The sequence below is a fragment of the Homo sapiens genome, chromosome 7, assembly GCF_000001405.40.
Source record: "Homo sapiens chromosome 7, GRCh38.p14 Primary Assembly".
In the NCBI taxonomy this organism is placed as follows: domain Eukaryota; kingdom Metazoa; phylum Chordata; class Mammalia; order Primates; family Hominidae; genus Homo; species Homo sapiens.
Genome location: NC_000007.14, coordinates 117,698,452 through 117,714,712, shown reverse-complemented (window position 1 = coordinate 117,714,712; position 16,261 = coordinate 117,698,452). Strand labels below are relative to the sequence as shown.

Genomic DNA, 16,261 nt, shown 5'->3' with positions numbered 1-16,261 from the left:
AGCCTCACACTTCCAGGGACTGACCAAACTACATGTTTTTAGTTGTTCTGGGTACTTCTCAGTACTTTATTTCATGTGGATATTTCCTGCCTCAGACCATGAAGGTACACTCCCCTCACCATCATGTTGCAGGTACAGAAACAGACTAGAACAGTGTATGTCTCCTTTCCTTCCTCTGGGCCATGGCATTAATTAACTCTGTAGATTTGACAATAATGGCAAAATTAAACAACTCCCCTCACCACCAGATTCTGTATAGCAACTAACTGTTATCCTTATTATAATGCCATATTTCATGTTTTCTGAATACTACGTATGTGTTGCATTTGCTGGTGTTTTAAACCAAATTACAAGTTCTAATTGGCCTTAGTAGGCCCATGACCAAGTCCCATTTTGCGGACTTAACAGTAATTTCTTGTTAGGAAAAATGAGATTGGATCCTGGTACCTGCACTGTTTTTACAGTTGTGACTATCACCATCCAACTCATGACAAGCAATGTAACTTCTCATTTTCTTTCTGGTAACTTGACAGCATAAGCATCTTTACAAAACAAAAGCAGAACATACTAAGCAGATTCGCCCTTAACATACCATCAAGTACACATGGAGGTGACGAGGATGGACTAGGATGTGTTCCCTCACCAGATGTAGCTCAGCCTTTTTCCAGGCTTCCTCGGACGTAGTTAAAACCGAGCCCATCTGTTTTTTGTTTTATCAGGAAGCTCTTGCCTTTCTAAGCTAGCTTCTTGCAGTCTAGACTTCTCTTTCCTTTCCCTGTAAATGCAGGTGGCCTGGACCCCAGATTTGTCCCCTCTTTATTCTCCATTACATATTTGTTGTTTCAGTGTTTTTATATTTTCCCAAACCACTAGCCAAGTATATATTAGAGTTACATTGCTGTTCCACTTAAGATTAGCTGAGTCTGAAAATCTGACCCCAAGAGATTTCACTTTGGTGATTTAGGGGTAGTTTAATGAACATGTTGTGTTGGGCTTTAAAGAATTAGGACTTTAACAGGGAAGTAAAGGAAAAATAGGATTTAAAGGGGATTGGAGCCAAACTTTAAAAGAACTTTAGTGACATGCCAGTTAGTGAGGACTTATCCTTTACCTTCCTATTCACACAAACACAGCCATAATTCTCTGCCCATTTTGTGGGTAACATTGGATTAGGTTGGTGAGGAGAGAGAGAAAGGCAGCTGCTAAAGATAACTGAGGATTTCCTGCTAAATTCACTGGGAGAGCAGCATTAGCCAGTAATGAGCCAAGCGGAAAGGCTTTAGAAATTAGTATTGAAGAAATGCAATAAATACAGTTTTAGAAAGAATTTGAAGTGTGGCTAGACATATAGGTGAATTAGTGGGGTGGAAATGCAGGAGATAAATGAGGGCTAAAGAAAGAACTTTGGGAAATACTTAGAGCTTGAAATACTCTGAAGGGAAAGATTATCAATGTGTGACTTATAGAGGGCTAAGAAAAATGCTACCATTTAGGACAGCAGTCCCCAGCCATTTTGGCACTGGAGACTGGTTTCGTGGAAGACAATTTTTCCACGGACCTGGGTAGTTTCCGGATGAAACTGTTCCATCTCAGATCTTTAGGCATTAGATTCTCGCAAGGACTGGGCAACCTAGACCCCTCACTTGCACAATTCACAAGAGGGTTTGTACTACTATGAGAATCTAATGCTGCTGATCTGACAGGAGGCGGAGCTCAGGTGGTAATACTGGCTCGCCCCCGCTCACGTCCTGCTGTGCTGCCCAGTTATTAATAGGCCATGGACTGGTCCACAGCCTGTGGCTTGGGGACCCTTGATTTAATTGCTCAATGGAGAAAAAGGATAGTGAGGAGTTAAGCTAGGCGTTCTTTGGCCGCAAGATTTTTTAAAATCGTATGTCCATGCCACACCCCAGAACTATTAAATATGAATCTCTGGTAATAGGGCCCAGCCAATGACTATTAAAGCTCCCCCAGGTGATTCCAATGTCATATAAGACGATACCCAGGAGAATGCAACTGCCGCAACTGCCAGATGAAGCCAGATTTTTCCTGTTAAATTTTAGTTTTGTTTTAAATTCTTGTAATGGTTATATTGCTGTTGGGTGCATTATTACTTTTGAAGAGGAGAAGTTATCAAGGTCAACTCCTTCAGAGGCATTCAGAGTAGGTCACTTAGTAGGAGTCATGTCATGTTTGTTAGTTTGCAGAATTTAATGCAATATAGGGAAAATACCTTGAGTGAAAGTTGGGAGACCTGAGGTCTTGTCCCAGCTTCACCACTCCGTTCACTGTGGGCAAATCATCTTACCTATCCAGCTCTCAGATTCTTCATGGGCAAAATGAGAGACATTGACCAGGTAATCACAGGATTTCTGAAACATTAGAGAAATGAGAACATGCAGCTTCCAAGTATGGAAGATCTTGAGTGGCCTAACCATAGATGAATGTAGGTTCTGCTAGGGAAGGAATGTTTCTCTTATGTTTTCTCCTATATGCCCCCAGATTATTTGATTATTGAGTAATAGTTCACTTTTAAGACTTGAAAGTAGAAAGCAGAAAAGTTAGGTGATTTACCCAAGGTGACATAGTTTGTAGAGCTACCTACAAATGGGACTACTCCAATTTGGTGATTTCCTCATGCCTGTAATTTTGTGAAGTTTCTGTTGGTAAGGAGATCGACGCCTTAGCACTTGATTCACTGACTCCTGTATTTAGGAATTTTGTAACAGCAGATGGATTAATGAAAATCATGCAGTAAGTCTATAGGAAATTAATTACTCAGCTTCTCCTCTCCATTTTCTTTTGATTTTTCACGAGAACCTATAGTTTTAGAGAGAAACTCCTGTACATTTGCTCAAAGAGGAGGCAGGGGTAGGGCTCATAACAGGAGAAGTTTGTGATAAACTTGTGTGGTTTCTTGTCTCTTACAGGAGGTCAGTCCTCTCAGCAGCCATCAAACTACTGAATGCAGCAACAGTAAATCAAAGACTGAGTTGGGTGTTTCAAGAGTTAAATCTTTTCTTCCTGTTCCTAGAAGTAAAGTCACCCAGTGTTCCCAGAACACCAAAAGAAGCAGCAGCAGCAGTAATACAAGGCAAATAGAAATCAACAACAACTCAAAAGAAGTGAATTGGAACTTACACAAAAATGAACACCTAGAAAAACCTAACAAATAGGCCTGCCTACAATATTCTCATTATTAACTTCCTCTATTTCACACAGAAACCAAGGACAACAAGATACAAATACCTTTAAATTGATAAAATGTTTTCACTGTAATATAAATTATGAGTGCGGGACCACTATTCAATTTTTTTTTGTAAAGAATGTATTTATAACCAACATTTTGTTGCTTTTTTTTTTAATTCTGTAGGATTGAACTTCAATACCAGGAAGTTATGCCAACTTTTCAAGTAGTTTTATAATAGAAAAATTGTAATAGTTTTAATCAAGATGTTCAGGGGTATTAAAACAGAACTGTGTACTGTATATCTGTATATATGTATATATGTATGTATATTTAAGGAAGTCCAGAAATCATACTGCATACATGCTACAAAAAAGTAGCAAAAAAGTACAAAGTTGGCTTAGATAACTTGTACCGTTTTAAATGGAGATCATAATTTTATGTTCACTTGATGGGGAATGACTAGAATGGGGCAATAACAAATCATTTCTAAACAGTTATTTTCCATTAAAAGCCATATTAAGTATTTTGCTTGTTAAATTCTAGTTTTATGTTTTAAATCTCTTAGTGGTTACATTGCCATTTGGTAGCATCATGTATATATTTATGCTTATAAGTTTGCATTATGACTCCTGTAAAATATGAAATTATAATGCAATAAAAGTGTTATCTTTCTTACAAAAGTTTTGTACCTAAGTGGATATAGATAACTGCATAAATGAATAAATTCAGAATTAACTCCTTCAATATTTCTAGTAGCACAACTGATAATATTGATATTTTCTACAAATGTTACTTCTAAAATTACAGACAAAATTACTTACACAATTCAGTTAAGATGCTTTGACACTGAATAAAATATTGATTTCATGAAATCATTTTGCTGTACTTTTTATCTATAGCTCTTTGTAGTCTCTGTAACAGATAATTTGTGTTCAATTTATCAATGCTCATAAAACTTGCCCTCCCATGTTAGTATTTCACTAGCTGTTCACAACAAGACTCAACCCTAATTAGAAACATCTTAAATACTTAAATGGAGCACCAGGAATTGGGTGCTCAGAGTTAAAACACCTTCCTTTTTTTTCATAAATACCAAAGAAGTATGATTTTGTACCAAGAATCATTTACTTGTCCAAAGTCATTGAAAGCCTTTTTTTCGCCAGAATGGTTATTTACAATGAAGTGTACATACCTGCATTGTATTGCTGTTACAAAACTGCACATACCTTAAAAATAACAATATGTAGTAAAGATTATGTCACTGATCTTGAGAACAAAACTGAATGCTGTCAAAATCATAGATCATATCTAGATTCAGGTGGCTCTAATGTGGTTTTTTTCCTGCTCACATACACCTGCTTAGATTATATCTAATTTGATTTGTTAGTGATAAGGCATTGTGTTTTATATTAGCAGCTTTTCTGAAGATAAAGATCCCATTAGTGTACTCAAGGACTAGAGGTGAGAAAACAAAACCATTTTTGGAATACATTATTAAGATGACTTGTAGTAATTGATCCATGTGACTGTCAGTAACATTCAACAAATGCACTTTTTGTAATTGAGGGCAGACTGCAAGATGTCTAAAAAGGACATTTAGAACACGGCTTTCAAATACAGGTATAATACCAGTGGGTCATTATAGCAATTTAGTGAGTTACAACTAGCATTAAAAATTAGAAAATGTCAGAGTCATCTTTTATTGTCTCACAGTCAATACAAGAACTGTTGGTGAGACTTTTGTTTCTATCGTGGATGTAGGAATGTATGTATATGTGACACAAAATATAACTGGGTCATGGTCAAATATCTTTGAGAGTCAATACCCTATCATGGCACCTAGTGTTGGCAGTTCTTAACTGCATTACTTAAGTGGAGGCTGCATTGAGGGGTCATATAGTCTTTGGTGGTAAACAGCCTTGGGGATGAATTAAGCACTGCCATTTATTAGCTGTGTGGCATGAGACAAGTTAATCTTTTTTTTTTTTTTTTTTTTTTTTTTAAGATGGAGTCTCTGTCACCCAGCTGGAGTGCAGTGGTGCAATATCAGCTCACTGCAACCTCCACCTCCCAGATTCAAGCGATTCTCCAGCCTCAACCTCCAAGTAGCTGAGATTGCAGGCATGCACCACCACGCTCAGCTAATTTTTTATTTTTAGTAGAGACGGGGTTTCACCATGTTGGCCAGGCTGGTCTTGGACTCCTGACCTCAAGTGATCCACCTGCTTCGGCCTCCCAAAGTGCTGGGATTAATTACAAGCATGAGCCACTGTGCCTGGCACATCTTTTCTATTACGTTTTCTCTGTAGTTAAAAAAACCTACAGGTTGTCCATGAGTGTTAGATAACGCAGTAAAGCCTTCCTAGTTGCCTCACACATTCATAAAATAAGTAATCAATATCTCAGAACTTTTTATGGTATTCTATATGAAGCAAATTTTAAGGATCAGAAGTTGGAGCAATACAATAACAGTAGGAGACTTCAATATCCCGCTTTCAACAATGGACAGATCATCCAATCGATATGGAAATATTGAACTTAAACTACACTTTAGACCAAATGGACATAGGTATATACAGAACATTTCTTCCAACAGCAGAATATATTCTTCTCAAGCACACACAGAACATTCTCCAGGATAGGTCATTATTAAGCCACAAAACAAGACTTAGCTTTAAGAAGATTGAAATCATATCAAATATCTTTTCTGACCTATGGTATGAAATTAGAAATCAATAAGAAATTTCAGAAAATTCAATAATATATGAAAATTAACATGCTTAACTACCAATGGATCAATGAATAAATTAAAAGGCAAATTTAAAATGTCTTGAGACAAAAATGGAAACACCATACCAAACCTTACGGGGTGCGGCAAACCAGTTTTATGAGGGAAGTTTATAGTAATATACATTAAAAAAGGACAAAGATCCAAAATAACCTAAATGTCATACCTCAAGACATTAGAAAAGCAATCCCATTACTGGGTATATACCCACAGGATTATAAATCATTCTACTATAAAGACGCATGCACAAGTATGTTTATTGCAGTACTGTTCACAATAGCAAAGGCTTGGAACCACCCCAAATGCCCACCAGTGACAAACTGGATAAAGAAATGTGGCACATATACACTGTGGAATACTATGCAGCCATAAAAAAGGATGAGTTCATGTCCTTTGCAGGGACATGGATAAAGTTGGAAACCATCATTCTCAGCAAACTAACACAGGAACCAAACACCGCATGTTCTCATAAGTGGGAGTTGAACCACGAGAACACATGGACACAGGGAAGGGAACATCACACACCAGGGTCTGTCGGTGGGTGGGGGGCTAGGGTAGAGAGAGCATTAGGAGAAATACCTAATGTAGATGACGGGTTGATGGGTGCAGCAAACCACCATGTCACGTGTATAACTATGTAACAAACCTGCACATTCTGCACATGTATCTCAGAACTTAAAGTATAATAATAATAAAAAAAAAGAAAACAAGGACAAACTAAGCCCAGAGTTAGAAGAAAGGAAATAAAGATCAGAGCAGAACATTTTTAAAAAGTTATGGCATTCCAAATCTTTTCAAATTGTAATAATTCACAGATGCTGGCAACTATATTATGAAAATTGGATTTTAAACCATGAGTGTATAAAATAATTCATAGAAATATCTAACTGAAAATAACTATAACACTTTAGCAATTTTCAATTTCATTCTATTTTAAGAGTTTCTCCAAAATAGACTAATACATTTTGTAGTTGTTTATGTAAAAAAGAAAACAAGTAGACTATAAAAGCTAGTTATTAGAAGTAGCCAATTTGGATAGACAAGGTCAATTTTTCACAAATACAGTTTTTGTGAGCAGTTAATCCTTAGTGAACATTAAATTCAGTTGACTAGCCCCAGGCATCACTTTAGGCATCACCTTATTTAGGCATCTGTTCTTAACAACTAAGACCCATTAAAGAAAAGTCACTCTCTGAAGTAATGCGATGCTTTCTAAATTCTATCCCATCCCTTTGCAAAATCATTTTATTCAGATAACATTCTACAGGTGTCAAAGGAGGAAATGAGTGAATAGATATCCTCTATTAGCCTGGATTTGACCATGAATATGTATGTTTAGTTGTGTATCAGGATGCCCATTGAGTGTTAATTTGAAAGAGAAGACTGGGAAACACACTGAGAAGGAATGTGCAGTTACTTGCCATATCTAGTCTGTCTTTCATAGTGAAGCACTCATATCAGGAGTTGCCAGCTCAGGTTCTGGCCACAGAGCTAACTACAATGACACTTAACATCTCTGGCTTTAATGTCATCATGGTAAAAATTCAGAAGGTTTTTCTGCCTCCTAGAAAGAAAAACACAATGGAAAAATAAAAAATCCTGCAAGTTTTTCCAGTATATCCTGATACCTTATAGTAAGGGCATCAGCTATACATATCACAAAAGTCATTTCAGTTGTAATTTAAGGAAATCGAGAATATATTTCTCCTAAGCTAATTCAAATATTCACATCTACTCAGAGTGGCTTCAAACCTTACTTATTCATTAAAGTAATATCGTGCTAGGGACTAGGAATAAAGCATTAAGACATGCCAGGCATTTTCCATCTTAATAGGGCTGAGACAGTGAGTAAATAAACAAAGCAAGATAATTTTTCATTGTGTATGTTCTATAAAGGAAATCAGTATAGTGATGTATTAATAATACAAAGCACTTGGTAAAGATCATGGAAGGAGGATTACTTTAGAGCAGAATGGTTCAAGAAACGGTCTTCAGGGATCAGGGTATGTAGCAGCCAGGGTAAACAGCACTGGCAACTCTTCTTATGGAAAAATAGACAAGTGAGATTAAATTACATTAAATTAAAAAGCATCACACAGCAAAGGAAACAATCAACAGAGTGAAGAAGGAACCTACAGAATGGAAGAACATTTTTGCAAACCACATAGCTGATAAGGATTAATATCCAAAATATATAAAAAGTCAACTCAATGGCAAGAAAACAACCCAATTAAGTGGGCAAAAGACCTGAATAGATATTTCTCAAGAGAAGGCAACAGGGATATGAAAAAATGCTCAACATATGAATCATCAGGGCAATGCAAATTAAAACCACAAGGATATGTCACCTCACACCTGTTAGAATAATCATTATCGAAAAAGATGAAAGGTAACAAGTGTTGGAGAGGATGTAGAGTGGCCCCTTGTACACCGTTGGTAGGTATGTAAATTAGTACAGCCATTATAAAAAACAGTATAGAGGTTCCTTTAAAAATTAAAAATAGGTTGGGCATGGTGGCTCATGCCTGTAATCTCAGCACTTTGGGAGGCTGAGGCAGGCAGACCACAAGGTCAAGAGATCAAGACCATCCTGGCCAACATGGTGAAATCCCATATCTACTAAAAATACAATAATTAGCTGGGTGTGATGGCATGCACCTGTAATCCCAGCTACTCAGGAGGCTGAGGCAGGAAAATTGTTTGAACCTGGGAGGCAGAGGTTGCAGTGAGCCAAGATTGCATCACTGCACTCCAGCCTGGCAACAGAGCGAGACTCTGTCTCAAAAAATAAAAATTAAAAAAAAAAGGAAAAAGAAAAAGAAAAATAGAACATAGGATCCAGCAATCATACTACTGGTAGGGCTATTTCCAAAGGAAATGACGTCAGCGTGTCAAAGAGATTATCTGTACTCCCATGTTTACTGTAGCACTATTTACAACTTCCAAGATATGGAATCATCCTCAGTGTCCATCAACAGATGAGTGGATAAAGAAAATATGGCATACATACAAAATGGAATGCTATTCAGTCTTAAGGAAATCCTGTCATTTGTGACAACGTGGATGAACCTGGAGGACATTATGATAAGCAAAATAAGTCAGGCACAGAAAGACAAATACCACATAATCTCACTTACGTGGTAGAATCTTTAAAAAATATGAACTCATAGAAGTAGAGAGTAGAATGGAGAGGAGATTGGGAAGGTATTGCTCAAAGGGTACACAATTTCAGTTAAAGGCTAGGCATGGTGGCTCACACCTGTAATCTTAGCACTTTGGGAGGCTGAGGCAGGTGAATCTCCTGAGCTCAGGAGTTTGAGGCCAGCCTGGGCAACATGGCAAAACCCCATCTCTACAAAAAATACAAAAAAAAGTAGCCAGGTGTGGTGGTGTACACCTGTAGTACTAGTTACTTGGGAGGCTGAGTTGGGAGGATGGCTTGAGCCCAGGAGGTGGAGGTTGCTGTGAGCCAAGATCATGCCACTGCACTCTAGCCTAGGCAACAAAGCCAGACCCTGTCTCAAAAAAAAAAAAAAAATCAGAAGGGAGAAATAAGTTCAAGAGATCTATTGCACATCATGATGACTATGGTTAATAATAATATATTGGCCATGCACAGTGGCTCATGCCTGTAATCCCAGCACTTTGGAAGGCTGAGGGGGGTGGATTATCTGAGGTCAGGAGTTCTAGACCAGCCTGGTTGATATGGTGAAACCCTGTCTTTACGAAAAATACAAAAATTAGCTGGGTGTGGTGGCGGGCACCTGTAATCCCAGCTACTTGGGAGGCTGAGGCAGGAGAATTGCTTGAACCCAGAAGGCAGAGACTGCAGTGAACTGAGATCGTGCTACTGCACTCCAGCCTGGGCAACAGAGCGAGACTCTGTCTCAAACAATAATAATAATAATGTACTATATTTTTGAAAATCTCCAAATCTACAGATTTAAAGCAATCCTAACCAAAATCTATGCAGGAATTTTTGTTTTTAAGAAGTCAACAAGCTCTTTAAACACATTTCTTCCCTTTTAATCGGGATTTTTTGGTGTGTCTTCTTGGTTTTCTGAAATAAAAATAGCACACAGATATTCAAGTCACTCTGACTTAGAGCCGAATTTTTTCTATGGTGACCACCCATTGATTGGGGGCCTTTTATTCTCTTTAGGAAGAGAAAACAGCCTGACCAAGTTTATTTGACTTTCAGACCTCTGTGCTAAGGGACCTAAACAATGATCTATTTTCTTCCTAACAAGTCCTTCAGGGGGTATTTATGTCCAAATATAATAATATTTCCACCAAAATATTTTTAAGGAAGAAGCATTGTGAGTTGGTTTTATCAAACGAGTTTATTATTCAGAACTTCCTGACAATTTACTTTACCTGGGCATTTTCAAGATTGGCTTTGTGAGTAATGAAATTGGAACTAGTGTAATATGCAGCCTCTGTGTGGTGTAATTTGAGAGGCAAGGTGTGGTGTTCCTGCTACGCTATCCTTCTCTTATTTCTGAATTACATTATTAGAATGTGATATCTTACATATTTTGTGATATGGTAAATAGAGAATTGAAGTAGTGAAACTCCTCCCTGTTCTGCCGGTGAGTGATTTGTGTCATTGACCATGTGACACTTTCCTGGGCCTGGATTTTTAACTTGGAACTAAGATAACTTCTAACTCCAGAATTCTTTGCTTCTGTAATTCATCAGGCACATCTCAAATAGTTGAGATTTCTTTTCCTGCCCAAATGCTGAGGGAATGGAATCAGAATCCTGCATTTAGTTAGAGGGAAGGGATCAGATACAATTGAGGAATGGGGGCCTTTAAGCTCAGGCGATGCCCCCAGGTGCATGTTGTTATGTGGGGGGTAGTGACCAAGGACCTGCTGGAACCGAAGTGGGGAGCAACAAAGCCAAGGAAATGGGCCAAAAGCCGGAAAAGTGGACACGAGTGCAAAAAAGCAACACAGGCTGAAGATGAGCATTTTGGTAAAGAGACATTTCATTTGGCTAGTCCTAGCTGAGTCCAGGAACTTTAAGGGGAAAAAAAATGTTCCAAATATTTACTACCAACCAAACCCTGTCAGCTGCTTGAAGGCGAAGTCTATTCATACTTTACTCATTTATTTTGGCTTCCAATACCTAGTACTATCATATACAAGTACTATAGGAGATATATGTTTGACAAGAACTATAAAAATATGATCATCATGATATAATGGTGGTGTCCTAGCCTAACCAAGAACCCATTTCAGTTCAAGTTCCTCTCAATTAAATTTGTGAGTTTCTCACTCTCACCACCTCTGTCACCACCACCGGTATTTACATGTCTATTATGTAGGCTTTTAGAACTCTTGCGGTCACATTGCATGGAGTAAGTGGATAATAGGAGGGCAAAAAACAAAGAAATAGAACTGGCCCTGTGGAAAGTGGGCAATCAGCCAGCAAACAATATATTCTCAGAGGTCCTGAACATCCAGACAGGGCCTCTTGCAGTGGTCTCTCTCTCTGGACACTGGCCTGCACCCATGGATTAGCTTCTCTCTTGAACCATGTCTTCTAATAATCCCCAGTATTTGGGTTTTGGCATTACCCAACCCCTTTTTTGATCTTCCTTTCCCACCTCCATCATTTCATACCCACCGAACCCCTTCTGCCTTGCAGAAGGTGCTTGGGTTCCTTTGATGCTTATGTTCTAGTCTCTCTCAAGAGTGTCTTCAAAATACTTTAGCCAGGCTACAGAATTTGAATACTTATTTAACCAACAAGATCGTAATTCTAACTTCCAGTAAGCTGACTGTCAAGTTACTAATTTCTGACATTTATTACACTAATTAGCAAAGGCTGTAATGTCAATCAATAATAAAGTTAGAGAAGTGTTTGTGGTAGCTGCCTCAGCATTCCTCTTTAGAATGCTAGCTGACCACTGCTGGGGCATGGATTTTTAATTAGGAAGTACTAAGTGATAAAGAGAAAATCTTAAACGTAGCCAGAGAAAAAGGCATGTTACAGGAAAGAATGACTTCTGATTTATCATAAACTGTATTCTGCAGAAGAAAATCAAATATTTCTGAAGTGCTGGAAGAAAATCAAGTATTTCTTAAGTGCTGGAAGAAAAACACTGTCAACCTAAAAACTTTATCTAGTGAAAATATCTTTCTAAAACAAAGGTGAAACACAGGAGAGGAAAACACATGATCATTTCAATACAGGCAGAAAAACATAAGACAAAATTTAACATTCATTTGTGATTAAAAAATAACTCTCAGCTGACCAGGAAGAGAAGGCACTTAACTTGAAAAGTACATCTGTAAAAAACAAACAAAATGAACACAGCTAACATTATGTTTGCCCCTGAGATCAGAAATATGACAAAGATGACCACTTTTGCCTCCTCTAGTCATCATTGTACGTGAGATTCTAGCTAGTATAAATAGACAAGATAAAGAAAATTAAAGTTTGCATGGTGAAAAAGTAGTAAAACTTTTTTTGCAGATGTGATTGATGTTATAAAAATTAAGGAACCTAAAAGTAAGCAACTAAAACTAATAAATAAGTTAGTAAGGTCCTAAGATACAAGATCAATATATAAAAATAAATTGTAATTCCACATACTAGCAAACTGTAATTTAAGATATTTATAATAGCATCAAAATTAAGAAATATCTATGGGTACTTTAATAAAATATATAAGATGTGTACACTGTAACCTAAAAAACATGGAGATGTACCATGTCAATGGATGAGAAGGATCAATATTTTTAAGATGTCAATTCTCCCCCAAATAATTCATAGATTCAAAGCAATCTCCTTTGATGGTTTTTGATAACCTTTGCAGAAGTTGCAAAAAAACTTCCGATTTTTTATAAAAAATAATAAGCTGAACCTAAAATTTATATGGAAATATGAAGGATATAAAATAGCCAAAACAATTTTGAAAAAAATAAAGTTGTAGAATTGGCATTAACAGAAAATACTTACTATAAAACTACGGTAATTAAGATAAGGTGGTACTGGCATAAGGACAAATGTACAGATCCTGGAACAGAATAGAGTTCAAAAATAGACCCACTCACACATGCTTATTTTTTTTTATAAAGTGCCAAAGTTGTTCCATGGAGAAAAACAATCTTTACAACAAATGATGCTGAAACAGTTGTATTATCAATAAATACCAATAAAAGAAAACTCCAATCCTTAATTTATAACATATATAAAAATCAACTCAAAATGGATGGTAGAGCTAAGCAGAAGAGCCAAAATTATACACCTTCTAAAAAATAGGAAAAAGCTTTTACCTCAGATTAGACAAGATGTCTTAGGACACAAAACACTAACAGTTGAATTTGCCTCCTGGCAACTCAAGCCACATCTAGAGAAGCTGATGAGATGCTTGGATGCCTCAACTTTTGCATTATTGAGAAATTCAAACCAAATAAGCCCCAGCTTACACAAGACAACTCTCTCTCCAGCCACACTACTCCACCACATAAAACCCCAAGTCAATTCTCCCTCCCTGTTCTCTCAATCCATTTTTAGACTTGCTTGGGAGCCTGGCCTGTTTTTCTCAGAAGACCTCATTATATGAATAATAAAATTGTTAATACCATCTTGAGGTGTATGTGTATATGTATGTGTGTATTTGTGTCATCATTAGCATTGATATCTGAACCAAATTTTGGATGTGCAGTTCTAACTTCCTCTGTGGAATGACCACAACACTATCTTCCTTCCCATCCTTTGAGACACTAAATATTATTTTATACCTCACTTAATCCTGTAAATACTTATAAGTATCTTGGCCTTTAAACCTAATATTTATCCAACATACTTGAAAAGCATTACTCTGCCAACTAAACCTTCATACAATGTTCACAACTGGGCAGTCACGTCAGTCTTGTGGTTTGTATTTATTTATTTATTTATTTATTTCAGCACAAGCCTACACCCTGTTAAGACCACATCTACCAACTTCCCCATTCATTACAGCATTTGCACAGCCAAGATGGATCATTTTGTTTCTTCTCATGCCTTTCTTGACAGATGTACTTCATCATCTCTTTAGACTTTTCAAAAATGAAGCCCAGAATCATAGAATTATACAGTACCTTGGGGGCAGACTTGAGATTAGTCATTTGAATGTCTGCCTTCTAATTTCAAATCAAGCCACATTTCCCATCGGATATTGTCAACCTGTATATTGTAGAATCTAACCGGTATAGTCTCTTTAAAGACTCATCAACAGACTTATGCTTTAGGGGACACCATTTATATACATTTATATAGAATTCCATATGAATAATACCTCCCTTCGACTGAGAAAAGTGTCCACCTTCCCAGAGTATCTATCACTCATGAACAAGCTGAAAAAAGAGTCTACCCTAAATTAAAAAGTTATTGCTTTAAAACCTCAGGTGAGTGACTTATCTATGCCAAAGTCAAGATGCACATTGCCAAATATCACACAGATGAAGTATACAAGTTTCATAAGACTTCTAGAACAGTCATAATTCTTGAATTTTGAATTGGTATCTAAGTCTCAAACTTCTTCAGGGCACTTAGGTATTTGCCTTTTTATTGAAAATTTTTATAAAAATTAAACACTTTTAATACCCAAAGCAAGAATCTCTGAGGAAACTCATATGCCACACCCAAATATAAATAACTCTTCCCCCAATTCTACCACCACCACCACCACCCCCAACATCTTCTCCATCTCCTGTCAATCATATGGTGAGCTAATCGAGCTGCTTATGTTGCCTGCTAGTCATGGCACTAATGAGATACTTTAGGAATCTTTCTTTTGGGCCCACTCTTTTTCCAGGTCAATTCTGTAGTTCCTAACTTGAGAAGATAATTTTTTTCCCCTTTTTTATAAAAAAAGTATATCAGAAGGGTCAGTTATGCTATCCCATTTGTCCTGCCTTTATTTTTGTAGAAAATTGTGTTTAGTTGTGGGCACTAGATCAAATGGAGGGCAGAGAACAGGACCCAGTGTCTATTTCTCCACATCAATGATCTAGAAAAGGGAGAAATCCAAGCTAGAGAACACATGTTAAGAAAATGATATATAACACATATAAACTATATTATTGTGGATATATTTTAAAAATTCTTCCAATTGAACAATCTTTTTTAAAATTTTACAAATATACAGAGATAGAAAGTAGATTAAGTGTTGCTTAGGACTGGGGGAGATAGAAAGGACAGGGGCTGATAGTTAAAGGGAATGGGTTTTCTTCTTGAGGTGATTCTAAAATTGATAGTGGTGATAGTTGCACAACTGAATATACTAAAAGCCACTGAACTGTATACTTTAAATGGGCAAATTGTATGATATCCTATGTGTATGTGAATTATATCTCAATAAAGTTGTCATGCCAAAAAAAAAAAACAAACAAAACCCTAACAGGCCAGGCACAGTGGCTTATGCCTGGAATCCCAGCACTTTGGGAGGCCAAGGTGGGCAGATCACGAGGTCAAGAGATCGAAACCATCCTGGCCAACATGGCGAAAGCCCGTCTCTACTGAAAATACAAAAATTAGCTAGGTGTGATGGTGCACGCCTGTAGTCCCAGCTGCTTGGGAGGCTGAGGTAGGAGAATCGCTTAATCTTGGGAGGCGGAGGTTGCAATGAACCGAGATCACGCCACTGCGCTCCAGCCTGGTTACAGAGTGAGACTCTGTCTCAAAAAAAACTAACAAAAAAATTGCAATCCAGGGATGGTAACACCTTTTTCATAGGCCACACACAATTGTTTCCCTCTTCATATGGCAATGATATTATAAAACAATGCATAATTCAGTCTTGACTCTAGCAGATTTGTTGAAAGTTCATTTCAATTATTGCCAAGGTGGTGCTTCTAACTGTAGATGGAGGGGCCAGATGGCCATGTAGTTTGAGTCATGATCATCTGGACCAGAAAGCACAATCTTACTCATTCATATTTTTCTACTCGGAGCAAAAGATAGACTTTGATTCTGGATGAGATCTACCAGGGTCAAGTAGTGGAAGTATGAGGGTACAGGTCTAGCTGGTGCAGGACTGTAGCACATGGCTGTGACTACTTCATTATCTTGCGACCTCTGAGGAGAATATTTGGAGGTTTAGGGAGGGTCATTACAAGTGTAACTTCATGGTAAATTCCTTTGGCAGATCCTAATTTTAGGCCTGAGCGCTGGCCATTTACCTAAATTAATTACAAGGGTCTCTAAGAGAGGAGTTGGAGAGGAAGAGGATGGAGTTATTAAGGCTTGTGTTATAGGAAGTTCACAGTTGAACTTGGACATGA

General features: G+C 37.4%; 1 protein-coding gene across 7 annotated transcripts in view, besides 3 other annotated features; it reads left to right on the top strand.

Moving 5' to 3' along the window:
* The window catches only part of CTTNBP2 (cortactin binding protein 2), a 162,791-nt gene extending 158,729 nt beyond the window's left edge, over positions 1–4,062 (top strand). For all 7 annotated transcript variants that reach the window (NM_001363351.1, NM_033427.3, XM_024446964.2 and 4 more), the window contains exon 23: positions 2,931–4,062. In NM_001363351.1, the coding sequence (NP_001350280.1) occupies positions 2,931–3,176 (246 nt within the window). In that variant the 3' untranslated portion in view covers positions 3,177–4,062. The remainder of the gene's footprint in view (positions 1–2,930) is intronic.
* Positions 506–1,031: a silencer, noted in NCBI's record as "nonconserved region 11 (NR11) negative regulatory element (NRE) in the greater CFTR locus". NCBI's record gives its function as "modestly represses an SV40 promoter coupled to the HS2 beta-globin enhancer in the forward orientation in transfected K562 cells {active_cell/tissue: K562}" and the evidence as "EXISTENCE:reporter gene assay evidence [ECO:0000049][PMID:18436892]".
* Positions 10,217–11,862: an enhancer, noted in NCBI's record as "Element G fragment used in the pGL3B reporter constructs". NCBI's record gives its function as "weakly activates the CFTR promoter in transfected 6HBE14o- cells, and shows cooperative activity with the -44 kb CFTR enhancer" and the evidence as "EXISTENCE:reporter gene assay evidence [ECO:0000049][PMID:26615198]".
* Positions 10,418–11,618: a DNaseI hypersensitive site, noted in NCBI's record as "DHS+36.6kb or +36.6 kb DHS observed in airway epithelial cells; the nucleotide coordinates are approximate for this feature". NCBI's record gives the evidence for it as "EXISTENCE:in vivo cleavage assay evidence [ECO:0001075][PMID:19897727, PMID:21895967]".